A 26,756-nucleotide genomic window follows, 5' to 3' on the forward strand; every position below is an offset into this window, starting at 1 on the left:
TTTTTTAAAAAGCAACTTTTTTAAAAAAAATTGCTCTGATAGAAAGGGTTAGTGTTGGGAAACTGGAGAAAGGGAGATGAAGGAAGAATGAAACCAAGTTCAAACTAGAGGGTTGATTAATGCTGAGTCCTTTGGGCATCTTGCTGGAGAATAGGTGAGGGTGCGGGTGTGAAAGCCGCATCCTGGCAGCTTTGCTGCACCGCAGGATGAAATTAATTTAGATGATGAGGAACAGGAGTACAGAAACAAAGACAAAAATCTCTTTCTTGAATGGAACTTTTAATCTTAGATATAGCAAGATTAAAATGTGGATTATATATTTTATGTATTATTTTTTTCTTTGGTAGAGAAATTACTTTATTCCATTTGTTATGGTTAATTTTATGTGCCAAGGTAGCTAGGCTATGATGCCCAGCTGTTTGGCCAAATACTAGTCTAATGCTGTTCTGAAGGTATTTTTGTAAATGGGATTAACATTCACTACTGGTTGACATTCAGTGAAACATATTACCCTCCATAACGTAGGTGGGCTTCATCCAAGTTGTTGAAAGCCTTAAGAGCAAAAAACTGAGGTTTCCAGAAGAAATTCTCCCTCATACTATAATATAGAAGTCTTGCCTGAGATTACATCCTGCTGGCCTGCCCTACTGATTTTGCATTTAAGATTGAAGCATCAACTCTTATCTGAATTTCCAGCCCACGGGCCCACTCTACAAATTTCACATTTGTCAGTCCCATAATTGGGTGGACAAACTCCGTAGAATAAATCTCTTTCTCCGTACACACACAGACATACACATACAATATGTATATACATATAATTGCTTCTGTTTCTCCGGAGAATCCTGAATGACACACTAGTCATCCCAGACAGGTTCTGATTACACTCAGCCTTGTACTAAAAGGGCATGATGGCTTCAGGTACCACGTGGCCCAAGATTCAAACCCAGGCACTGCTGCTTATTAGTGAGGTCCTGTGTAAGTTATTTAATCTCTTTAAGTCCCAATTTTCTCAACTATAAAATGGGAGTAATATTACTTATCTTCCTGGTATTTTTCTTTATGAGAATTAAATGGGAAAATGCACACAAAAGTATACGGTACAAAACTTGGCATATAGTAGCTGATCAACAAGTAGCAAACAATGTGGATTATCTATGTGTTGTACTGAAGAACGTTCATATTATTTTACCAGCTATTCGGGTCTGTGAATTCAATATTATCTGTTTCTGTTTCTAGACATAGTCAATTAAAAATAGCCTTTAGTGTATATACAATTTCTTAATATGAATTTCATGAAACACTAGTGCCATGAAATTATTGAAGACAAAAAAGGTCCCAGATTGAAATAGGAGTGGCAGTCTGCCTAGTGTAACACCCTCTGGGAGAGTCACATTTTACTTTAATATATTAAAGACTCAGAAATTCTGCAGTTTCATTTACTTTTGAATAATCTGATTATGGTAATCATTTGGCCTATTTACAAATATTCAATTTTCCTTTCCTCCATGAGGTGGTAAGTTTTACCTCCTCACTCTTTCAAATTAGATATGGTCATATGACTTGCTTTAGGGAAAAAAAGTGAATGAAGTGACATGTGACATTTCCTGGTGGAACCACTAGATCCACTTCCCTTTTCCTGTCTTGGACATTGCAGAAGCATAAGTTAGATGGATCTTCAGTCAGTCTGGGTTGCTGACTGACAATATTGAGCAGTGTTTCCTCTCTACTGATCTGTTTTGCTTTTTGTTTTTTTTTTTAAAGTATTTTTTTCTTTTATTATTATACTTAAATTTTAGGGTACATGTGCACAATGTGCAGGTTAGTTACATATGTATACATGTGCAATGCTGGTGCGCTGCATCCACTAACTTGTCATCTAGCATTAGGTATATCTCCCAATGCTATCCCTCCCCACTCCCCCCACCCCACAACAGTCCCCAGAGTGTGATATTCCCCTTCCTGTGTCCATGTGATCTCATTGTTCAATTCCCACCTATGAGTGAGATTATGTGGTGTTTGGTTTTTTGTTCTTGAGATAGTTTACTGAGAATGATGATTTCCAATTTCATCCATGTCCCTACAAAGGACATGAACTCATCATTTTTTATGGCTGCATAGTATTCCATGGTGTATATGTGCCACATTTTCTTAATCCAGTCTATCATTGTTGGACATTTGGGTTGGTTCCAAGTCTTTGCTATTGTGAATAATGCCGCAATAAACATACATGTGCATGTGTCTTTATAGCAGCATGATTTATAGTTCTTTGGGTATATACCCAGTAATGGGATGGCTGGGTCAAATGGTATTTCTAGTTCTAGATCCCTGAGGAATCGCCACACTGACTTCCACAGTGGTTGAACTAGTTTACAGTCCCACCAACAGTGTAAAAGTGTTCCTATTTCTCCACATCCTCTCCAGCACCTGTTGTTTCCTGACTTTTTAATGATTGCCATTCTAACTGGTGTGAGATGGTATCTCGTGGTTTTGATTTGCATTTCTCTGATGGCCAGTGATGATGAGCATTTTTTCATGTGTATTTTGGCTGCATAAATGTCTTCTTTTGAGAAGTGTCTGTTCATGTCCTTTGCCCGCTTTTTGATGGGGTTGTTTGTTTTTCTTGTAAATTTGTTTGAGTTCATTGTAGATTCTGGATATTAGCCCTTTGTCAGATGAGTAGGTTGCAAAAATTTTCTCCCATTTTGTAGGTTGCCTGTTCACTCTGATGATAGTTTCTTTTGCTGTGCAGAAGCTCTTTAGTTTAATGAGATCCCATTTGTCAATTTTGTCTTTTGTTGCCATTGCTTTTGGTGTTTTAGACATGAAGTCCTTGCCCATGCCTATGTCCTGAATGGTAATGCCTAGGTTTTCTTCTAGGGTTTTTATGGTTTTAGGTCTAATGTTTAAGTCTTTAATCCATCTTGAATTGATTTTTGTATAAGGTGTAAGGAAGGGATCCAGTTTCAGCTTTCTACATATGGCTAGCCAATTTTCCCAGCACCATTTATTAAATAGGGAATCCTTTCCCCATTGCTTGTTTTTCTCAGGTTTGTCAAAGATCAGATAGTTGTAGATAAGTGGCATTATTTCTGAGGGTTCTGTTCTGTTCCATTGATCTATATCTCTGTTTTGGTACCAGTACCATGCTGTTTTGGTTACTGTAGCCTTGTAGTATAGTTTGAAGTCAGGTAGTGTGATGCCTCCAGCTTTGTTCTTTTGGCTTAGGATTGACTTGGCGATGCGGGCTCTTTTTTGGTTCCATATGAACTTTAAAGTAGTTTTTTTCCAATTCTGTGAAGAAAGGCATTGGTAGCTTGATGGGGATGGCATTGAATCTGTAAATTACCTTGGGCAGTATGGCCATTTTCACGATATTGATTCTTCCTACCCATGAGCATGGAATGTTCTTCCATTTGTGTCCTCTTTTATTTCCTTGAGCAGTGGTTTGTAGTTCTCCTTGAAGAGGTCCTTCACATCCCTTGTAAGTTGGATTCCTAGGTATTTTATTCTCTTTGAAGCAATTGTGAGTGGGAGTTCACTCATGATTTGGCTCTCTGTTTGTCTGTTATTGGTGTATAAGAATGCTTGTGATTTTTGTATATTGATTTTGTATCCTGAGACTTTGCTGAAGTTGCTTATCAGCTTAAGGAGATTTTGGGCTGAGACAATGGGGTTTTCTAGATATACAATCATGTCGTCTGCAAACAGGGACAATTTGACTTCCTCTTCTCCTAATTGAATACCCTTTATTTCCTTCTCCTGCCTAATTGCCCTGGCCAGAACTTCCAACACTATGTTGAATAGGAGTCGTGAGAGAGGGCATCCCTGTCTTGTGCCAGTTTTCAAAGGGAATGCTTCCAGTTTTTGCCCATTCAGTATGATATTGGCTGTGGGTTTGTCATAGATAGCTCTTATTATTTTGAGATACATCCCATCAATACCTAATTTATTGAGAGTTTTTAGCATGAAGCGTTGTTGAATTTTGTCAAAGGCCTTTTCTGCATCTATTGAGATAATCATGTGGTTTTTGTCTTTGGCTCTGTTTATATGCTGGATTACATTTATTGATTTGCGTATATTGAACCAGCCTTGCATCCCAAGGATGAAGCCCACTTGATCATGGTGGATAAGCTTTTTGATGTGCTGCTGGATTCGTTTTGCCAGTATTTTATTGAGGATTTTTGCATCAATGTTCATTAAGGATATTGGTCTAAAATTCTCTTTTTTTGGTTGTGTCTCTGCCCGGCTTTGGTATCAGAATGATGCTGGCCTCATAAAATGAGTTAGGGAGGATTCCCTCATTTTCTGTTGATTGGAATGGTTTCAGAAGGAATAGTACCAGTTCCTCCTTGTACCTCTGGTAGAATTCGGCTGTGAATCTGTCTGGTCCTGGACTCTTTTTGATTGGTAAGCTATTGATTATTGCCACAATTTCAGATCCTGTTATTGGTCTATTCAGAGATTCAACTTCTTCCTGGTTTAGTCTTGGGAGAGTGTATGTGTCGAGGAATTTATCCATTTCTTCTAGATTTTCTAGTTTATTTGCGTAGAGGTGTTTGTAGTATTCTCTGATGGTAGTTTGTATTTCTGTGGGATTGGTGGTGATATCCCCTTTATCATTTTTTATTGCGTCTATTTGATTCTTCTCTCTCTTCTTTTTTTTTTTTTTTTTTTTTTTTTTTTTTGAGACGGAGTCTCGCTCTGTCGCCCAGGCTGGAGTGCAGTGGCGGGATCTCGGCTCACTGCAAGCTCCGCCTCCCGGGTTCACGCCATTCTCCTGCCTCAGCCTCCCAAGTAGCTGGGACTACAGGCGCCCGCCACTACGCCAGGCTAATTTTTTGTATTTTTAGTAGAGACGGGGTTTCACCGTTTTAGCCGGGATGGTCTCGATCTCCTGACCTCGTGATCCGCCCGCCTCGGCCTCCCAAAGTGCTGGGATTACAGGCATGAGCCGCTGCGCCCGGCCGTCTCTCTTCTTCTTTATTAGTATTGCTAGCGGTCTATCTATTTTGTTGATCCTTTCAAAAAACCAGCTCCTGGATTCATTAATTTTTTGAAGGGTTTTTTGTGTCTCTATTTCCTTCAGTTCTGCTCTGATTTTAGTTATTTCTTGCCTTCTGCTAGCTTTTGAATGTGTTTGCTCTTGCTTTTCTAGTTCTTTTAATTGTGATGTTAGGGTGTCAATTTTGGATCTTTCCTGCTTTCTCTTGTGGGCATTTAGTGCCATAAATTTCCCTCTACACACTGCTTTGAATGCGTCCCAGAGATTCTGGTATGTTGTGTCTTTATTCTCGTTGGTTTCAAAGAACATCTTTATTTCTGCCTTCATTTCGTTATGTACCCAGTAGTCATTCAGGAGCAGGTTGTTCAGTTTCCATGTAGTTGAGTGGTTTTGAGTGAGATTCTTAATCCTGAGTTCTAGTTTGATTGCACTGTGGTCTGAGACACAGTTTTTTATAATTTCTGTTCTTTTACATTTGCTGAGGAGAACTTTACTTCCAAGTATGTGGTCAATTTTGGAATAGGTGTGGTGTGGTGCTGAAAAAAATGTATATTCTGTTGATTTGGGGTGGAGAGTTCTGTAGATGTCTATTAGGTTCGCTTGCTGCAGAGCTGAGTTCAATTCCTGGGTATCCTTGTTAACTTTCTGTCTCGTTGATCTGTCTAATGTTGACAGTGGGGTGTTAAAGTCTCCCATTATTAATGTGTGGGAGTCTAAGTCTCTTTGTAGGTCACTCAGGACTTGCTTTATGAATCTGGGTGCTCCTGTGTTGGGTGCATATATATTTAGGATAGTTAGCTCTTCTTGTTGAATTGATCCCTTTACCATTATGTAATGGCCTTCTTTGTCTCTTTTGATCTTTGTTGGTTTAAAGTCTATTTTATCAGAGACTAGGATTGCAACCCCTGCCTTTTTTTGTTTTCCACTTGCTTGGTAGATTTTCCTCCATCCTTTTATTTTGAGCCTATGTGTGTCTCTGCATGTGAGATGGGTTTCCTGAATATGGCACACTGATGGGTCTTGACTCTTTATCCAATTTGCCAGTCTGTGTCTTTTAATTAGAGCATTTAGTCCATTTACACTTAAAGTTAATATTGTTATGTGTGAATTTGATCCTGTCATTATGATGTTAGCTGGTTATTTTGCTCGTTAGTTGACGCAGTTTCTTCCTAGTCTCGATGGTCTTTACATTTTGGCATGATTCTGCAGCAGCTGGTACCGGTTGTTCCTTTCCATGTTTAGCGCTTCCTTCAGGAGCTCTTTTAGGGCAGGCCTGGTGGTGACAAAATCTCTCAGCATTTGCTTGTCTGTAAAGTATTTTATTTCTCCTTCGCTTATGAAGCTTAGTTTGGCTGGATATGAAATTCTGGGTTGAAAATTCTTTTCTTTAAGAATGTTGAATATTGGCCCCCACTCTCTTCTGGCTTGTAGGGTTTCTGCTGAGAAATCCGCTGTTAGTCTGATGGGCTTCCCTTTGAGGGTAACCCGACCTTTCTCTCTGGCTGCCCTTAACATTTTTTCCTTCATTTCAACTTTGGTGAATCTGACAAATATGTGTCTTGGAGTTGCTCTTCTCAAGGAGTATCTTTGTGGCGTTCTCTGTATTTCCTGAATCTGAACGTTGGCCTGCCTTGCTAGATTGGGGAAGTTCTCCTGGATAATATCCTGCAGAGTGTTTTCCAACTTGGTTCCATTCTCCCCATCACTTTCAGGTACACCAATCAGACGTAGATTTGGTCTTTTCACATAGTCCCATATTTCTTGGAGGCTTTGTTCATTTCTTTTTATTCTTTTTTCTCTAAACTTCCCTTCTCGCTTCATTTCATTCATTTCATCTTCCATCACTGATACCCTTTCTTCCAGTTGATCGCATCAGCTCCTGAGGCTTCTGCATTCTTCACATAGTTCTCAAGCCTTGGTTTTCAGCTCCATCAGCTCCTTTAAGCACTTCTCTTTATTGGTTATTCTAGTTATATATTCTTCTAAATGTTTTTCAAAGTTTTCAACTTCTTTGCCTTTGGTTTGAATGTCCTCCCATAGCTCACAGTAATTTGATCGTCTGAAGCCTTCTTCTCTCAGCTCGTCAAAGTCATTCCCCGTCCAGCTTTGTTCCGTTGCTGGTGAGGAACTGTGTTCCTCTGGAGGATGAGAGGCGCTCTGCTTTTTAGAGTTTCCAGTTTTTCTGTTCCGTTTTTTCCCCATCTTTGTGGTTTTATCTACTTTTGGTCTCTGATGATGGTGATGTACAGATGGGTTTTTGGTGTGGATGTCCTTTCTGTTTGTTAGTTTTCCTTCTAACAGACAGGACCCTCAGCTGCAGGTCTGTTGAAATACACTGCCGTGTGAGCTGTCAGTGTGCCCCTGCTGGGGAGTGCCTCCCAGTTAGGCTGCTCGGGGGTCAGGGGTCAGGCACCCACTTGAGGAGGCAGTCTGCCCCTTCTCAGATCTCCAGCTGCATACTGGGAGAACCACTGCTCTCTTCAAAGCTGTCAGACAGGGAGGGACATTTAAGTCTGCAGAGGTTACTGCTGTCTTTTTGTTTGTCTGTGCCCTGCCCTCAGAGGTGGAGCCTACAGAGGCAGGCAGGCCTCCTTGAGCTGTGGTGGGCTCCATCCGGTTCGAGCTTCCCGGCTGCTTTGTTTACCTAAGCAAGCCTGGGCAATGGTGGGCGCCCCTCCCCCAGCCTCGCTGCTGCCTTGCAGTTTGATCTCAGACTGCTGTGCTAGCAATCAGCGAGACTCCGTGGGCGTGGGACCCTCCTAGCCATGTGCGGGATATAATCTCCTGGTGCGCTGTTTTTTAAGCCCGTCGGAAAAGCGCAGTATTCCGGTGGGAGTGACCTGATTTTCCAGGTGCCGTCTGTCTCCCCTTTCTTTGACTAGGAAAGGGAACTCCCTGACCCCTTGCACTTCCCGAGTGAGGCAATGCCTCGCCCTGCTTCGGCTCACGCACAGTGCACGCACCCACTGTCCTGCGCCCACTGTCTGGCACTCCCTAGTGAGATGAACCCAGTACCTCAGATGGAAATGCAGAAATCACCCGTCTTCTGCGTCACTCATGCTGGGAGCTGTAGACCGGAGCTGTTCCTATTTGGCCATCTTGACCTTGACAAAAATTACTGATCTGTTTCGATATGGTACTCATGATTGGGAAATCAATATTGTGTTATTGTATGCCAGATTTTGAGGCTGTTTGTTACTACAGCATAACTTAGCTTATTTTGTGTCACACAGGATTTTGAAAAGAAAAAAGTGAGGTGCTGGTATAACAATACCCTAAAATACGTAGCACGAGTTCCATGGTATGATGGTTAATTTTGAGTGCCAACTTGATTGAGTTGAAGAATGCAAAATATTGCTCCGGGGTGTGTCTGTGAGGATGCTGCCAAAGGAGATTAACATTTGAGTCAGTGGACTGGGAGAGGCAGGTCCACCTTCAATCTTGGTGAGCACCATCTAATCAGCTGCCAGAGTGGCTAGGATAAAAGCAGGCAGAGGAACATGGAAGGACTAGACTGGCTAAGTCTTCTGGCCTCCATCTTTCTCCCATACTGGATGCTTCCTGCCCTCAAACATCAGACTTCAAGTCCTTCAGCTTTTGGACTCTTGAACTTACACCAATGATTTGCCAGGGGCTCTCAGGCCTTTGGCCACAGACTGAAGGATGTACTGTCGGCTTCCCTACTTTTGAGGTTTTGGGACTGGGACTGGCTTCCTGACTCCTCCACTTGCAGAAGGCCTATTGTGGGACTTCACCTTGATATTGTGTGAGTCAATCCTCCTAACAAATTCCCTTTCATATATTCATCTATCCTGTTAGTTCTGTCCCTTTAGAGAACCCTGACTAATACACATGGTTCAGTTGCAAATATTGAGGAAACTGTTAACAGAACCTGAAAGAATAGCAAAATGTTTTAAAACATAAAAATATACATGACCACAAAATCATTTTTCCTGGAATCTCTTTTAGTCAACATACTTTTGAAAACATTGTTTCAGAATGTTCCTTGCAGTGCTTTCCTTTCTCTTTGCATGTGAATTATTACCAAAATAAATCAGTAACTAAAAGTGCAATAAAATATTTTATGAATGGGAAATTATTATCTAACATTTCTTGCATAGGCTGTGCATTTTATACTCCCTTCTGTTTGCTCAAACTGCAATGATTTTTCTCCCTCTTCATCTACTTCATCCCATGTTATTCTTCAAAGTTTACCTAAAATAATACCTCCTCAATAAAGCCTTACCAGATTTAACTGCTTGTGATTAATTGCTCAGTACCATTAATTTTGAATTTTAACTTATTTCTAGCATTTACTATCTTCTGCCTAATAGTATGATTAGTTTATATATATATATATATATCTCATCCCTACCAGGTTACAATCTCCTTTAAACTTGGAACCATCTCATTGGATCTTAGTATCTTCTACAGGGTTTTGCACAGGATTTTTCATTTATATTAAACTCAATGATCGTTCTTGGAATAGCATTATGCTAACGACTAATAATACAATTAATAATAATAACAATGACATAACTAAAAATTTTGAGCGCTTAGTAATGTGCCAGAAACTATAACAGATGTATATGACTATTTCTTTTATTCTTAATATTATACCTATGTGGTAGTTACTGTTATCTCCATTTTATAGGCAAGAAAACTGATGCTGAGAGAGGTTAAGAAACTTGGCCAAATTCACACAGCTGATAAGCAACTACCATATTTTTGCAAATGCAAGCCTAGATATTGGTCTCAGGTGCAGAAAGACAGATTGTCACAATTATACGTGTGGTATTGGCATGTGCTTGTATTTCTCTTTTCCAATTTAAGGTCGTCAACCCCAAAGTCTGGCAGAGTTAGCTTGGTACACACAAAAATGGGGTTTGGGCTGGCAGAAAAAGAAACAATGAGAGAGTGTAAAAGGCAGAGGCATACTTGGTAGAAACAGATAATAAGGCCATGACAGCCACCCCTCATCCTTCCCCTCTCATAAATATGGAGAAGTGGCAAAGAGCAACAGAAGAGGGAATAGAGGAGGAGGAGGAGGCGAGTCGGTTGTGCATGCAGCACATTTTGCTGAGCCAGAAATAAGAGTGAAGCTCAGTGATGTCCTGGCTTCAGAACCTTAGGGATGCTGGTGGGGAAAATATTCAAATAGCATCATTGGATATTAGATGTTGAAAGAGCTAAGATAAGCTGCAGATTACTTTTTAATAAAAGTAGCTTTGGAAGTTGTCTTTGTCTCTTATCCTTCTTATTTGCTGTATTCATTGGAAACCCTGCCATTAGCATTAATTGAAAGAAAGCACCCAGTGTGCTTAAATCTTTGTCAGAGGAAAAAAGACTCCTCCAGATCAAAGAACCAACATTATGCTCTGATGAAAAGATAATCCTATTTCAGTGACACACCACAATTGATTTCTTTGTGGACCATCAGCAATCCATTTACATACGACAGTTGATGTTCAATGTAATCGTGGTTCAACAGGGGCTTAATGAATGCCTACTATGTGCTAGCCCAAGTTCAAGTGCCAGAGAGAACAAAAATGACCTCAGAAAAAGTGCCCCTCCCTTCTAAGAGCATGGAACACATTTGAGACAGTAAAATATTGTAGGATATATACATGGAATCTCAGGAGAAAACAGAGTAATGTGGTTCACCGTAATGTTGTCATAATTAACAAAGGAAGGGCTAAAAGACCAAATACAAAACTGTAAACAAAGTATTGTCAATATGGGTAGAGAAACTTCAATTCATTAAAAAAAAATTTAACTACACATCATCCATATTAAAGTATGCAATACTGACTCTGTGTCAATGTCCAGAGCCTCCTCCTGTTTCACAAAGAAGACCTGAGAGGGAGCATAAATGTAAGAGTGAATACCAAAAGAGAATCCTAGCAGATGAGTAAGATAAGTATGGTATGCCTTATCTAAAGAGGTTGATAAATCTTATTTTATAGATAAAACTGAGACCCAAGGATATAAAGCAATCTGTCACTTGTTGCACAGATGAACAAACTGAAATTCAAACACAGACCATCAGAATCCTAAAACCATTTTTCTTTTGTTCTGTTTTTCTCCACATTATTCTGGTTTCCCTGCCATAACCAGGAATAGCTAAGATTATGTCTGGGGAAGACAGGATAGTAGATATCTAGCAAGCTGCCTCACCTAACCATCCTCACATTCTCTAAGAATAGCCAGAAGAGCCTCCAAATCCACACAGTAACATTGGTGTGCTCCTGAGAGCAATTCTGTGATCCTTTCCTTATGACCAAGGTTGATTGGGCCAGAAGTGGTATATGACATGGTTGAGACAATTGATGACCTTTCTCCCTATTTCATTCTTTGACCCTAATTGTTTTTTTTTTCAGGGATGATTGGTCCCTAAACCAAACAGAGTAAGGAAAAGAAATTCAGTCTCAGATGAAGTGGTGGGTTTTTATTAGGAAACTGGGAAATGTCAGCTCCATGTGTTCTGCAATATGCTCCAATCATTCAATCCAATCAAAGCTGGTCTATAGAGAAAAAAAATATAGCCTGGAAAGAAGCAGACTCTGTCCCTTTTGGAGGCCCAGCTGCATCTCTGCCCCGGGCTTTGTGAAATACTCTGAGAGGAATTACCCTTTTCTGCTTAAGCCAACCTAGTGGATTTTAGTCACTTGCAGTGAAACGAATTTGACCCAAGAGGAAGTACGTGGATCTTAGTGGCGAAGTGAGGAAGCAATGTTAAGATAAGCAAAAAGGCTGAGAGGTTTAGAGAAACAGAAACAAATGATGAGATAGTGAAGAGGTACATGGTTTAGGAAGTTAGGGTCCAAACATGGAGTAACCATCCTTTTATGCTACACTTGCCATGTAGTGGCAGATTTTCTAAGAAGGCAGAGCCGTTAGAAAATGTGATTATGAACTGGTCAATAGCAGATTTGTCATCTATGTTCACTGGAATCTCCCCTGGGTTCAGAATGAATTAGAATGGGTAAGATGTTTATCATTGTAGCCAATAGCAGCATAAATGGAAGCAGAATTTGAATCATAATTGAAAAAGGCGTTCAGTGAAGTGAAATGGGAGTGATGTAACCTTATAAGGAAGAGATAGATATCAGACTTAAATTTGCAAGTGGAAAGACATGGGAATTCCTTATTCCAGTTTGTTACTGTTAACAATTCAAGACTAATGGGATGGATGATAGCAGGTTGTAAAGCATGGAGACTGCAGTCAGGCTGCTAGGTTCAAATCCCAGATCTGCTACTTGTTAGCTTCGGAACCATGGGTTAGTTATTTTATACTTTGTAAATTTCTAAAAGAAGAATAGCTGACAACCTGCTATCTGTTGCTACGTAATATAACCAACCCAAAACTTGTTGCCCTAAAACAAAGAGCATTTATTCTTGTTCACAGTTACCTGGTTTCTTTAGATATTTTTTATGGTCTCAACTCAGGGATTCTTCTGGTCTCAGTTGGGCTTATTCATGGGCCTACAGTCTGAGTACAGCATCCATGCTCTGAAACCACTATGCCATATGGCTTCACAAGCATAAATTATATCACCTGCTGCTCTTGGCTTGGTTCTCTTACATATTTTGAGGTTAACTGGATGGAAGCTACTCTAGATAGTTTGACTGCGACAGATCTCCTTTATGTGGTCTCTCAACTACCAGGAGGTTAGCTCAGGCTTATGGCAGGAGCCATCTGAGAGAGAGACAGCAGAAATATGCAAGTTGTGGCATGATCTCAGAACTGGTACAACATCACTTCCACTGCATTCTATTGGCCAATGCAAATCAGATCAACTCAAATTCAGAGTTTAAGAAAACAGACTTTACTGCTTGACAGAAGAACCTACAATGTTATACTAAATGGGCAGTTATAGGACTATCTGGGTGAAAGGGTATTTTGCATTCAATTTATCACAATGGACATAATAATAGTACCTACTACCTAGTGTTATTTTGAAGATTAAACGTGTTATTGTATGCAAAGCCCTTAGCATAGTGTCTGACAGATGTGCAGTGTTATTTAAGAGTTTGTTTGTTTTTATTATCCTGATATCTTAATAGACCCAGACAGGACAACAATTTGTCACCTTCTTAGCATGGGGAACAATGATATTATCATGATTTTTTAAGTCATATCTTAAAATTTGAGCCAAAGAGTGCACCCATTGTTACAACACATCATTGCTTTCCAGTATTTAAAACTGCAGGAGAGGCAAGGGCTCTAACCTCTAGTTTTATTTGTATCAGTGCATTGCTATGACTTCTGGCAAGATACCTGATATGCGCAGGCTTCTGCTTCCTCACTGTAAAGCAAGGTTTGGACTTCATGATCTTAAGTGTCTCCTAACTGCTAACCACTAATGAATCCTGAGAAGAATACTCTCCCCAATTTTATTCCAACAGCTAATGGGAAAGGGTGAGTCTTCTCACTGCATTGACAAAAAATTGCTTTTAACGAAAAAGAATGCCAGATGGAACTGGGCTGCTGAGAATAACCAGGAACTTAAAGTGAATTGTCAAAAACAAGTTGACCTAAAACAATTTTCTCAAAGTCTAAGTGTTGGAAAGAATAAATTGGTCAAAAAATCATCTAATACAGATTTTTCATTTTAGTAATTTTGATGCACTTGAAGAAGTTTTATTAGCTTTCATGAGTAATTAAGCTTTTTTGTCATTTTATTCCCCACAATTTTCAGGGGAACAAAGGTTCCTTTTCTTTTTTGTTTCTAATTCATATAGTCAATTATGTCTGCTCTGCTCATTTGTCTTAAAGTTAATTATTCTAAAAATCAATGTTTCCAACTGCCAGTTAACATTATTTATAATTTTGAAATTTGTTATAATTCTTAGAACTTTTATCCATATTTTTTATGTTATACTTCTTACTACATAATTTCACTTTTTAAAATGTTTAGATTCATTTTCAGCCAGTGATGTTAACTTCATTTACTTAATCCTATTTTGTGTTCCATTTTGGTTGCACATTTCTTACGTATTTCAGCAAATTTTACAGAGCAGCATTTTTACTACTCAAGGTTGCTGTCAGATTGAAGCTGTAATGAAAAACATGTAAAGTCTCAGTGTGGCTTCTCAGACAGCTATAAGCTTAGGCTAAAATTTGTTGACCTAACAATGAATAAATGTTTCATGGGTAAAACTCTTGATAGCAATTGGCTCTGGGCCCCTAGTAACTTCACTGAAGAAAGCTAGGAAAAGAAATATATGCTAGCTTTTCTGATCCAGTTAATCACTACATTAACTTTATAGTTGAAAGCCTTCATGACTGAAATGAAAAATGCAGAATGTTCTAAGTCAATGTGGTGATTAACACAACTTCAACGATATCCAGTAACTTTATTCTTCAGAATCATCTTTTGTCACATCACGTCTTTAATTCTGCAGATTCCTTGGAACACACAATTGTTACAAAAGAGCAAATGACTAATTAAAACAGATTTAGACTAGGTCGGTTTGAGCAATTTGGTACAAAATCATAAAAGTATTGCTAAATCAGAAAAGCAAACATAATGGGATGAAAATGCATCATAAATTGAAAACAGAAGTTTAAAAAACTGGAGAAAAATCTTCTAAATCCTGAAAAAGGAAAAAACAAACCATTACAATTCTAAACACCTTCCACATTATTTCCACATTAATAATATATGAATAACCAATTATAGAAGAATAGTCATGTTTTATCATTTTTACTAGTTTGGTTTTAGGCAAATTGTTTTTGACCAAATTGGCAGCTAACAAATAGAAGCAGTGATTTGAGCCAATACCCTTTAAATGTGCTAGGGTGATTCATGGTGCTATTTTAAACAGACAGAATTTCATCTGGGTTTATTGACACAATTTATCTCAAACTCTTCAACTTCTTGCTCTTTGGTTCTAGAATTTCTTTTCAGTTCTGACCTCCCCACATGTGTCTGATGTTGGAATTCTCATCGCTGGCCTCTGCTTTCATTTACATCTAGTGAGAACTAGACCAGGTTTTCAGCTTTCTGCTTTCATCATTCCTTTTGTTCATTAGGTCCTTTTTCTTTCTTTGGAACCAAAATGGTCCAGGATGCTCACCAAGGCTTCTCCCCCTTATTATCTCTAGTAATCACCCTTTAAGATGAGGCTGCCATCTCAGGGATTCCCACAGTTCTCTCTGGCTGTTGTAACCAAGTCAGGGTCTCAGGGACTCAGGGACTCCAAAATCTGTCTCCTAGCTTCTTATGGGGCAGACATTCTTATTTCTTCCCTCAGATCCACAAGGGTATACCAATTGGAAGCCATACTGGTATTATATGAACCACCCTTCCTGATCTTAAGGTAAGATCTTACCTATCTTTTATCTTACCTCCAATAAGGTAAGATAAAGGAGTAAACATACCTTAACAAACTGGGTCAGATTTTCTTTACCTAGTATCTGGAAGACTGTTGTTGATATGGTTTGGCTGTGTCCCCACTCAAATGTCATCTTGAATTTCCATGTGTTGTGAGAGGGACCCAGTGGGAGGTAATTGAATCATGGGAGCAGGTCTTTTCCATGCTGCTCTCGTGGTAGTGAATAAGTCTCAAGAGATTTGATGGTTTTAAAAACAGGAGTTTCCCTACACAAGCTCTCTTCTCTCGTCTTCCACCATGTGAGATGTGCCTGAAATCTTGTCCTTCTGCCACTGAGTGGCTTCTCCAGCCACATGGAACTGTAAGTCCAATAAAGCTCTTTCTTTTGTAAGTTGGCCGGTCTTAGGTATGTCTTTATCAGCAGCATGAAAGTGGACTAATACAGTTGTCATCTTTGTAAGTGACTAGAATATCATATAAGTCAGATGCTGAGGCTGGGAAGGCATTTTGCATCATGTCAATCAGTAAGTCAGAGAAAGCTAGTTGTTGCTTGTAACCTCAGAAAGATATTTTATTCTTTGTTAAGCAATATTCCTTCATGATTAATCAATGTTGAACAGTTTGACATTTATTGCTAGCCAACAGAAGCCAATTCTCATTGAACTGTAAACAATGTGTATATCCACAGCTTAGTGACCTTTTCCTGTTTAGTATATTCATGTGCACAGTAACAAATTAAATACCTACAATTGTTTGTGTACTTTTAAAAAAACTGTCGTGAAGGCCGAAGAACTACCTATTCAGTACTGTGCTGACTAATGGGGTGACAGATTCAATCATACCTCAAACCTCAGCATCAAACAATATACTTTTGTAACAAACCTGTGTATGTTCCCCTTGATTCTAAAATAAAACTTGAAAGAGAAAAAAACATCAGTAAAATAACAGAATTTACTATCTTAACCATTTTTAAGCATATAGTTCATTACTAACTTAACCATTTTAAAGCACATAGTTCAGTAGTGTTCATATATTCACAATGTTATGCAAGCAATCTTCAAAATTCTTTTGATTTCACAAATTAAACAACAGCTCCCTAGTCTCTCTTTCCCTTCCCCGGAGAAACCACCATTCTACTTTCTGTCTTTATGAATGTGACTACTCTAAGTACCTGATATAAGTGGAATCATATGTCATATAGTATTTGTCTATTGTGATTTGCTTATTGCTTTTAACATAATGTCTTCAAAGTCCATTCATGTTGTAGCATGTGTCCGGATGTCCTTCATTGTTAAGGCTGAATAATATTCCGTTGTATGTATGTACCACATTTTCTTTATCCATCCATTTATCGATGGATACTGGATTGCTTCATTTCTTGGCTATTGTGATCAATGCTGCAATGAACATGGGCATACAGATAGAAGGCGAATGTTTAAATGGAAAGAAGATAAAAGGATACATAGAGGAAACTAGAGACAATAAACAGATTCCTGATCCCTTTCCTGCTCCTAGCTATCATCATCTATTGCGATCCACTTGCATTTCTGTTCTTGAGTTATGTGAGTCACCTCTGCATTTATATACAATAAATTCTCCTTTTTTGCCTAAGGTAGCTCAGACTGGTTTCTCTTATTTACAGCCAGAGTCTTGACTAATATATGGTTAGGAGAAAATCTCTGCAAATAAAGACAAGTCCAACTCATGACAAATATTTCTTTTATTCTGTAAATAAGAAATAAGATAAAATTTCACTGTCAACAAAGAAATTACAAACTGCAAGAACCATCATAAGGTGGAACTTTTGCAACCTCCCAGACCTTTAATAAGAAGCTGAGAAAAGGAGGAAAAATTCCTTCATGAGACCCAAGAGGAAGGTTAATGACATTTTAGATTTGGTTATTCTTTTTGTTCTGCTTTTGCTTCAATTTTTTACTGTCTCCCTGCAAAACCAGAACTGTCCAACAGGGATTGAATTTCCTGTGGACAGTTTGTCTTTCATAAGCTTCACAGACAAAATTAACCAGCAACGGAAAAATAAGATGACATTACTATTTTTGCAAGTTTAAAATCATTCTGCCAAGTATCTATTGTATGTCTCATTTTTTTTTCTTAATCCCTTGGCTTCATCTTCTTTGAAATTACTGCTATAAGAGTTAAGATAATACACATTACTAGTATCCCGGCATCCAAACAGAAGAGTTTTTCTCATCCCACGTTTCATAGAAGCAGTTGAAACAAAAACAAATTGCCACATAGCCTCTCTCTTATCCCTGTCTTGTGGTTTTCATAAAGATGTTAGCTTGGAAATTTCATCAAGTCTGAAAGATACCAAGTGATCTTTTCTTCAAAAAAAATTGGTAGTAAACCTCTCTTCAAAAAAAATTTAATTTCTATATTTATTTGACCCAGTCTTCTATCCATTTTCTCCAAAGTAATTTCAGTATTCAGACCTTGACTCCTAACTCCCACAAAATTCTTTGTGTTTCTGCCTCTTCCTTTCCCATCACTCCTCTCAATAATTTTCTCAAATAACCTGCTTCTTTTTCTCATCATACTTTGGCCTTGTATTTTTTTAACCTGCTTTCTCTTTTTTTCCACACTGTCTGGATAGTTTTATTTTAAAAACTTGATTTCTAAGGGACGGTGCTAAAGAGAAGATACGCGACAAAGACAGAGGGGAAAGGGATATATTTTTAAATGCTTCTAAGTACCCATGCTGGTGTTCTCCCTCTGTGCTAAGACACAGCAACCTGAATTTATGGCATGCTTAGAGTTTCGTACTGAAAAAGCATAAAGACCTATAGAAAACCCCTCCAAAAACCTCCTAAAAAAAATCTGCACATGTTGACATAGTTGAATGATGTCATCAGCCAAATCATGCATTGGGAGAGAAATTAATATTTAAATAATATAAACATCCAGGAGAACTGTACTCCTGCAAACTTTCTTTACGTTGGAATCCTTGTCTGGTTAAACTTCTTATACTAAATCAATGTGAGAAAATATAACATGGGATCAAATAACTTCTCTTAAATGACTTTTCCTCATGCTACTCACTGAGGAATTATTAAAGATTTAAAAGTTAAATTGACTTTTGGCTGTATACAGATTAATTTAATTCAACAATAAAATGTCCTAGTTATATTTTTGTATATATTCATGCTCTTTCAAGGTCAGAAAAAAATAAAAGTTTTGTGTGGCTTTTAAAAACAGCTGCCTAAATCATATAAAATTGCTTCGACTGATTTTAAAAAAAACATTCCATGCTGGAGCAGTGGCTCAGGCCTATAATCCCAGCACTTTGGGAGGACAAGGCAGGAGGATTGCTTGAGTCTAGGAGTTTGAGACCAGCCTGTGCAACATGACAAGACCTTGTCTCTACACAAAATTGAAAACTAGTATTTTTTTAAAGAACCCATTTCGTGTCTGCAATTAATGACATATTGTCCAGTCAATAGTTCCCATTTAGCATGAACATGTAGAAGCAGATGCTGAATCTCAGCCATCATAGCCTCTGTCAAAGCTAAAATATATAGTAAAACTATAAAATTTATTATTCAAATATTTATCAATGCCTATTTTGTGCATTGTCACTAAAAACTGATAGGGAAGGAATCCATTCAAGACATAGACAACTTCTCCCAAGGAACTCATTAGCTTAGTTGGAGAGATTGAATATACATTCACAAAAGAATTATTAAAAATACAACATACAACCTGATAAGTGTAAAAATGTCAAATGAAAATTGCAAACAAAAATTCCTACTGAGATTCACACAAGGGAAACAGTCATTGACATGGGTGGACGGGAGAGTCCAGAGGAGGTGCAAGGCTGAGCTTGGAATAGTTTGCAGGGATCAGGGAAGCAGGAACTCAGAGCAGGGCATTACAGGTGCATGACTGTGGGATGGAGAATATGATCAGAGACAAAAACAAAATCATTCCCATCCTGCTTGAGGGGAGGGAAAAAAGAATAGAGCAGTGTGTCTAGATAGGAGAGTTATCAAGAGAAAAAAAAAACAACTCATCCGACTTCTCCAATAAGGATGAAAAAAAGCTTTTCAACTAGTGAACCAGCTGCAGAGACACTAGGGTTCTCATATGGTTATGTCTTACACAGAAAAAGAAATAGATATCTGCCTAACTAAAGCAACCTTAATGACTTTCAACAAATATTACAGAAACTCGTATGTATATTCAGAGTTTCTAAGCTAAAGAGAGAGACATTTAACAGAAAATAAAAGTGAAATAAAGCAAATACCCCTGTAGTTTATCTGTGGCAATTTTCTTTAAGGAAATACACATACATTGAATATGTTTCTTTGACTATGCACAAACACACACACATGTCCAAGTAGAGTATAAATAAAGATTATACTGCTGGTATTTTACTTGTTATTTTGAAACATAAGATTGAGATTTGTGAGTAGAACTTTAAAGTTCAAAAATCAATGAGCAAAATTTAATCAGTAAGAGAGTTGAAAAATCTTTTTTGTGCACCTTTATTAAAGATTAGGCTTAAGACTGCCCTCACAAAGCACAAAGAAGAGTATTTCCTAGACCTGATGCACTTTATTCTCACAAAGATCTTCTCAGATTAGATTACGCATGCACCTAAGGGGATGTGGTTGTGTGCTGGTGCAGGATGCCATGAGATAAATGCACCACATCTTCCTGGAGTTACAATTTTATCCAATGATTTGGAAGTAGGGCAAGTTAAGTAATTTAATAGTAAGTAATTGAAGACATAGTTTTTATATTAAAGCACATACAGAAAAATTATACTGCAGAGTACAAAATGCTCCTGAAATTTCATGAGAAAATATGAGGCATCAAATAAATTTCCTACATGGTTGGTTGCAAGGAATTTCCCACATAGCAAGAGAAACAAAGAAGGCTGCTTAACAGAGTTTCAAGCTAGTTTACTCTCCTTACTTTGGGAGAAATTTTTACAGTATAATTGCTCTAGTAGATTATTCCTTCCATACTTACGTAGCCTGCTTTTTAGTTAATCTTATTATTTAAATAGTTGAAAGATAATCGATCATGTAAGGTTGTTTTCCAGTTTTTAAGGACAAGTTTAGTAACCCATTCTAACTTTATGCGTGCCTCTGGGGCTTCAGGCTGGTGACAATACCTCCAATCCCATCTCCATCCCGTTGAGTTGGTCCTGAGTCCCAAACAATGCTTCCTAGGGCTGTGGGTAATGCCAGACAATCAGTTCAGTCTGCACCATTAACCTCCAGGGATTAGTAGCTCTCTGTGCAATTGAATGTTCCCAGATAAGTCCCTGTGGTGAGCCACCTGCCAGGACTCAGCACTTCACAGGCAAAGCTAAGAAGCTAGTAAAAGATTTAAAGCTCAAACTTGAGCTGAGCAATCAGGATATTTTTCTCCCACAATTTACAGCTACTGTGGCATGACCTAATTTCTTATTCCCCATTTTTTCTCTTTAAATTTTGAGGTTTGATTTACCTGATAGAATTTGTTTCACAAAAATTAATGGAAGAAACATCAATTTTCCTATCATAAAATTGGAAAGCATACTGCAATCCAACATAACCTTTAAGCTTTCGTTAAATTCCCATATGTTAACACTTGATACATATTAAAATAAGAGCTCTTAGAGTTTTGCAAGTAAGGACTACCTTTCATTTGTTTGATGGAAACACCCAGCCAGTAGCAGAAAAACATATGGGGAGATCCACACTCTACGTGGTGTGCACACAAAGTATACAGATCGTAAAACATAGGATTGACTCATTGTAAGTTGACATATTGATGTATAAAGTGGTATAAGGTTATCAATTTGTATCCTGAAAAGGGGATAAGTGTTTTGCTATAAAATGAGATAGAGTAGGAGGGAACAAATGGAACCTATTCATGCCTGAAACAACTAAAACAGACAAAATATACAATAAAACCATTTTGAAGACACTAGATATCTGGTAACTAAGGGCAATAAACCCAGAGAGATGAGAAGCAAGTGAGATGTGCTCTGATTTCCCCAGTGTAGTGGCTTAATTGTTTGGGGAAACCATGGTGCATGGAGAGTAACCTCGGGTAAAACCTGTCAACTCTCTGAGAAGACAGAGATGAAAATGTGAGGAAAACAAAGTGGCTAGATTTTGCCAGAGAGAATATTGGCAAAAAGAGAGCTACAGAGAGAAAAAACTCCAGAGACCTTGAAGGGTCCTCCTCAAATATTCAGCAGAGTACCAGTCAGTGCACATGTATGAGGAAACTCCTCATGGATGGGTAGAATCATCCCAGAGGATTACAGAGAGCAATGTTCAGTGTTCACATAGACCAAGAACAGTTCCTGTTTCCATCACCCAGACTGGAAAAACATAATTCATGGCACATCGGGTAGAGTGATTCAAAAGGGTCTTGCTTCAGTAATGGGAAATGATTATCCCTATGCTGAATGCTGACCTGCTCCTACATTTAGTAGATTGTAAATCTTCTTTTTAAAATTCTTAAAAGAAAGACATGGATGGATCAAACTATTTCTTAGTAACCAATTGTTTATAAGAATACAAAAATATCTTGCATTGAACAAAATAATATTCACAATATCTTGCATCCAATCAAAGAGTAAGAGGCATACAAAGATGCAGGAAAATATAATCCATAATGAGGAGAAAAGCCAATTAAAACCAATCCAGAACTGACACAGATATTAGAACTAGCTAACAATGACATTAAAACAGTAATTATAACAGTATTATTGGTGGTGATTAAAAAAGGCACAAATTGGACATCAAAGGGCAAAAACTACAAAATCTGAAATAAACAGTGCTCTGGATGGAATTAATGGTAGATCAGACGTCATAGAAAACTAATGAATTTGAAGGCATAGTAATAGAAACTATCCAAACTAAAACTAATAAAAATATAAAAGAACATTAAGGATTTGTACAATTTCAAGCAGCCCAGTGTTAAGGTTCCCTAAAACACAGTAAAAATATTTGAAGAACTAATGGCTTAAAGATGTTCAAAAAAATTTTTTTAAGAAAACTATAAGCACTTAGATTCAAGAAGTTCAATTCACTCCAAGCACAAGACATTTGAAGAAAACCATACCAAAGTACTTTATAGTCAAATTATTTTTAAAAACTTATGATAAAAAAATCTTAATAGCAACTGGAGAAAAAAATCCTTATATGCAGAGGAATAAAGATCAGAATAATAGCATATGTCTCATCAAAAACAATGCAAGAAAAAAAGAGGGAAGTGAAAAATCATTAAAGTACTGATGGTAAAAGCAAATACAAAAAACCTACCAATCAAGGATTCTACACTTAGAAAAAATACATTTCATGCAAATCAAAACCACAATGACATACCATCTCACACCAGTTAGAATGGCGATCATTAAAAAGTCAAGAAACAACAGATGCTGGAGAGGATGTGGAGAAATAGGAACACTTTTACATTGTTGGTCGGACTGTAAACTAGTTCAGCCATTGTGGAAGTCAGTGTGGCGATTCCTCAGGGATCTAGAACTAGAAATACCATTTGACCCAGCAATCCCATTACTGGGCATATGCCCAAGGATTATAAATCATGCTGCTATAAAGACACAGGCACATGTATGTTTATTGCGGCACTATTCACAATAGCAAAGACTTGGAACCAACCCAAATGTCCAACAATGATAGACTGGATTAAGAAAATGTGGCATATATACACCATGGAATACTATGCAGCCATAAAAAATGATGAGTTCATGTCCTTTGTAGGGACATGGATCAAGCTGGAAACCATCATTCTCAGCAAACTATCGCAAAGACAAAAAACCATACACCGCATGTTCTCACTCATAGGTGGGAATTGAACAATGAGAACACATGGACACAGGAAGGGGAACATCACACACCGGGGCCTGTTGTGGGGTGAGGGGAAGGGGGAGGGATAGCATTAGGAGATATACCTAATGTTGCATGACGAGTTAATGGGTGCAGCACACCAACATGGCACATGTATACATATGTAACTAACCTGCACGTTGTGCACATGTACCCTAAAACTTAAAGTATAATAATAAAAAAAAAGAAAAAATACATTTCAAAAACAAAGGTAAAATAAACATTGATTTTTGGCTATACAAAAGCCGAAAGAATTCACCAGTAGATTTACACCAAATATATTTTAAATAAAGTACTCTAGGAAGAAGAAAAATAACATCAGTTAGAATAGTAACTACATGGGTAAATATAAAAAGTTTTAATATTTAAATTTCTTTAAAAGGTAATTGGCTATATCAACAAAAATAATAATATTGTATTGAGAGTTTATAACATGCATTAATGAAATATATAACAACAGTAGCATAGGGGAAATGTAACTACACTATTGAAAAATTATTCTACATGAAGTAATATAATCTCACTTGAAAGTACACTATAATCAATGAAAGATATATAATATAAATCCTAAAGCATCAACTAAAATAGCAAAAAGTTATGGTTAATAAGCCAACAGAAGAGATAAAATAGAATGAAATATTCAATTACTCTAAAAGGAGGCTGAAATAGTGAATAAAGAACAAATGGAACAAATAGAAATGAAATAACAGGATGATAGACTTAACTCTAATGATGTCAATCATCATATTAAATTTAAATGTTCTTAACACTCAGATCAAAAGGCAGAGATTGTCAGATTGAAAAACTTGAAGAAGAGAGAGTACTTCCTAATTCACTTTATGAGGATAGCATTATCCAGATACCAAACTCAGACAAAGACATTGGGGAAAAAACTATAAACTAGTATTTCTTACAAAAAAAATTAGTGAATCAAATTCTAAAGTATATAAAAAGTAATTATAGGCTTTATGCCAGGAAGGCAAGTTTGACTTAACATTCAACAATCAATCAATGTAATTCTCCATGTTAACAAATTTAAAAAGTAAAGCCTGATCATTCAATAGATGCAGGAAAAACATTGGACATAATCCAGCATTCATGCCTGGTAAATATTCTCAAAAAACTAAGGATGGAAGACTTCATCAACTGTACAAAAGGTAAAAATCTACAGTTAACTTCATACTTTATGATGAAAGATGGAATGCTATATTTTCCCCTAAAACAATGGACAAAATAAGGGTGTCTACTCTTCCATTCAGCATTGAATTAGAGAGTTGTAGCCTGTGGAATAATGTGAGAAAAAGAAATAAAAGCAGTGGAAAGTAACCTAGGAAAAGAAAATGAAATTTGTTTTGTTCATAGATGACATGATCACCTTGGAAAATGTGATGAAATCTACACATAAGCTACTAGAACTAGTAAATGAATTTGGCAAGTTTGCAGGATGTAAGATTAAAGTAAAATATTAATTGTATTTCTAAGCATTCTGTTTGAATCAGAGGAGAATGTTTTGTAAAACATGACAAACTGATTCTAGAGTTCATATAGAAATACAAATAGCCTAGAACAGCCAAAACAACTTTGAAAAAGAACAAAGTTGACAAGCCAGAACTATCTGATTTCAAGACTTTATTATATGCTCCACTTATTTATTGTGCTCCACCTCCTTGAGAGACAGTAGCTACATAAATAATTTGGAATTCTTCGAAGTCAGAGATTTGCTTCTTCTATCCACTAATTTATTTATTTATTCATATCTGTGTGGGTCCATTAATATTTATTTTATAGTCTGGGTTATAAACCAATACAACTTTATTTTGTTGCTCAAATTGTTCCAGCTTTGGTCATTGAGAGCTCTTTCAAGACTTTATTATATAATTTATTTCAAGACTTTATTATAAGTTTACAGTAATCTTAGCTGAGCATGGTGGCACATGCCTGTAGTCCTAGTTACTTGGGAGGCTGAGGCAGGAGGATTGCCTGAGCTCAGAATTTGAGGCTGTAGTGAGCTATGATTGTACCATTGCACCCCAGACTGGGTGACAGAGAGAGACCCCATCTCTAATGAATAAGTAAATGAATAAAAATTGCAGTAATTAAGACAATGTGTATATTAGTCTGTTTTCACATTGCTGATAAAGACATACCTGAGACTCAGCAATTTACAAAAGAAAGAGGTTTAACTGGACTTACAGTTCCACATGGCTGGGGAAGCCTCATAGTCATAGCAGAAGGCAAGGAGGAGAAAGTCCCATCTTCCATGGATGGCAACAAGCAAAGAGAGAATGAGGAAGACGCAAAAGCAGAAACCCCTAAAAAAACCATCAGATCTCGTGAGACTTTTTCAATACCATGAGAACAGTATGGGGGAAACCACCCCCGTGATTCAATTATCTCCCACTGGGTCCCTCCCACAACATGTGGGAATTATGGGAGTACAATTCAAGATGAGCTTTGGGTGAGGACACAGCTAAACAATATCAATGTGGTATCAATGTCATGAGAGACAAACAGATAAAATGGGAAAGAATACAGGCCACAAATAGACCCACACATATATGGACTGCTTATTTTTGACAAAGGTGCAAAAAAAATTCAGTGGGGAAAGAATAGCTTTAAAAAATGCTGTTATAAAAACCTGTTATCCATATGCCAACATAAATAAATACCAATGCATACACAATCTAATTTATATAAAAATTAATCCCAAATGGATCATAGACATAAATATAAAACCTAAAACTGTAAAACTTGTATAAGAAAACAAACGAGAAAGCCTTTATGACCTTGGGTTAGGCAAAGAAAAAAATTAAAAATTGATAAATTAGACTTTATCTAAATTTAAAACCTCTGTTCTTAAAGACATTGCTAATTGGATGAAAACATAATTTTCTACTGGAACAAAATATTTGCAAGTATATGTCTGATAATAGGCTTGCACCCAGCACATACAAAGAAATCTCAAAACTCAAAAGTAAGAAATCAACCCAATAAACAACTGAGCAAAAGATTTAAACAGACACTTGTCCAAAGAGTGCATGAAGAAAAATAATTTTAAGTAAGGCACATAAAAATATATATAGCATTATATATATTTATATAATTTATACATATAATTATATATATAATATATATAATTATATATAATGTATAATATATTATATGTACTATATATTTACATATATTATATAAATTTATATATAATATATTTATATAAATATATTATATATATTTTATATATAAATTATATATATTATATAAAATAAATTATATATAATATATAATGTATTATATATAATATATATATAATGAATTATATATATTATATATATAAAATGAATCATATATAATATATATATAAAATGAATCATATATATTATATATAAAATGAATCATATATACTATATACATAAAATGAATCACATATATTATATACATAAAATGAGTCACATATATTATATATAAAATGAATTATATATATTATATATAAAAAATGAATTATATATATTATATATAAAAATGAATTATATATATTA

At 36.8% G+C, this 26,756-nt stretch overlaps 1 long non-coding RNA gene across 1 annotated transcript in view, besides 1 other annotated feature; it reads right to left on the bottom strand.

Annotated features, from left to right (window-relative positions):
• Nucleotides 1-15,061: 15,061 nt before the first annotated feature.
• Nucleotides 15,062-26,756, bottom strand: part of LINC01787 (long intergenic non-protein coding RNA 1787) — a 120,057-nt gene continuing 108,362 nt past the window's right edge. Inside the window, exon 6 of the long non-coding RNA NR_110693.1 lies at nucleotides 15,062-16,743. This is a non-coding gene — a long non-coding RNA (long intergenic non-protein coding RNA 1787). The remainder of the gene's footprint in view (nucleotides 16,744-26,756) is intronic.
• Nucleotides 20,242-20,882: an enhancer, noted in NCBI's record as "OCT4-NANOG hESC enhancer chr1:96724805-96725445 (GRCh37/hg19 assembly coordinates)". NCBI's record gives its function as "activates a minimal SCP1, AML or CMV promoter by ChIP-STARR-seq in naive H9 embryonic stem cells {active_cell/tissue: H9 hESC(naive)}" and the evidence as "EXISTENCE:reporter gene assay evidence [ECO:0000049][PMID:30033119]".

Source organism: Homo sapiens, chromosome 1, assembly GCF_000001405.40.
Source record: "Homo sapiens chromosome 1, GRCh38.p14 Primary Assembly".
Taxonomy (NCBI): domain Eukaryota; kingdom Metazoa; phylum Chordata; class Mammalia; order Primates; family Hominidae; genus Homo; species Homo sapiens.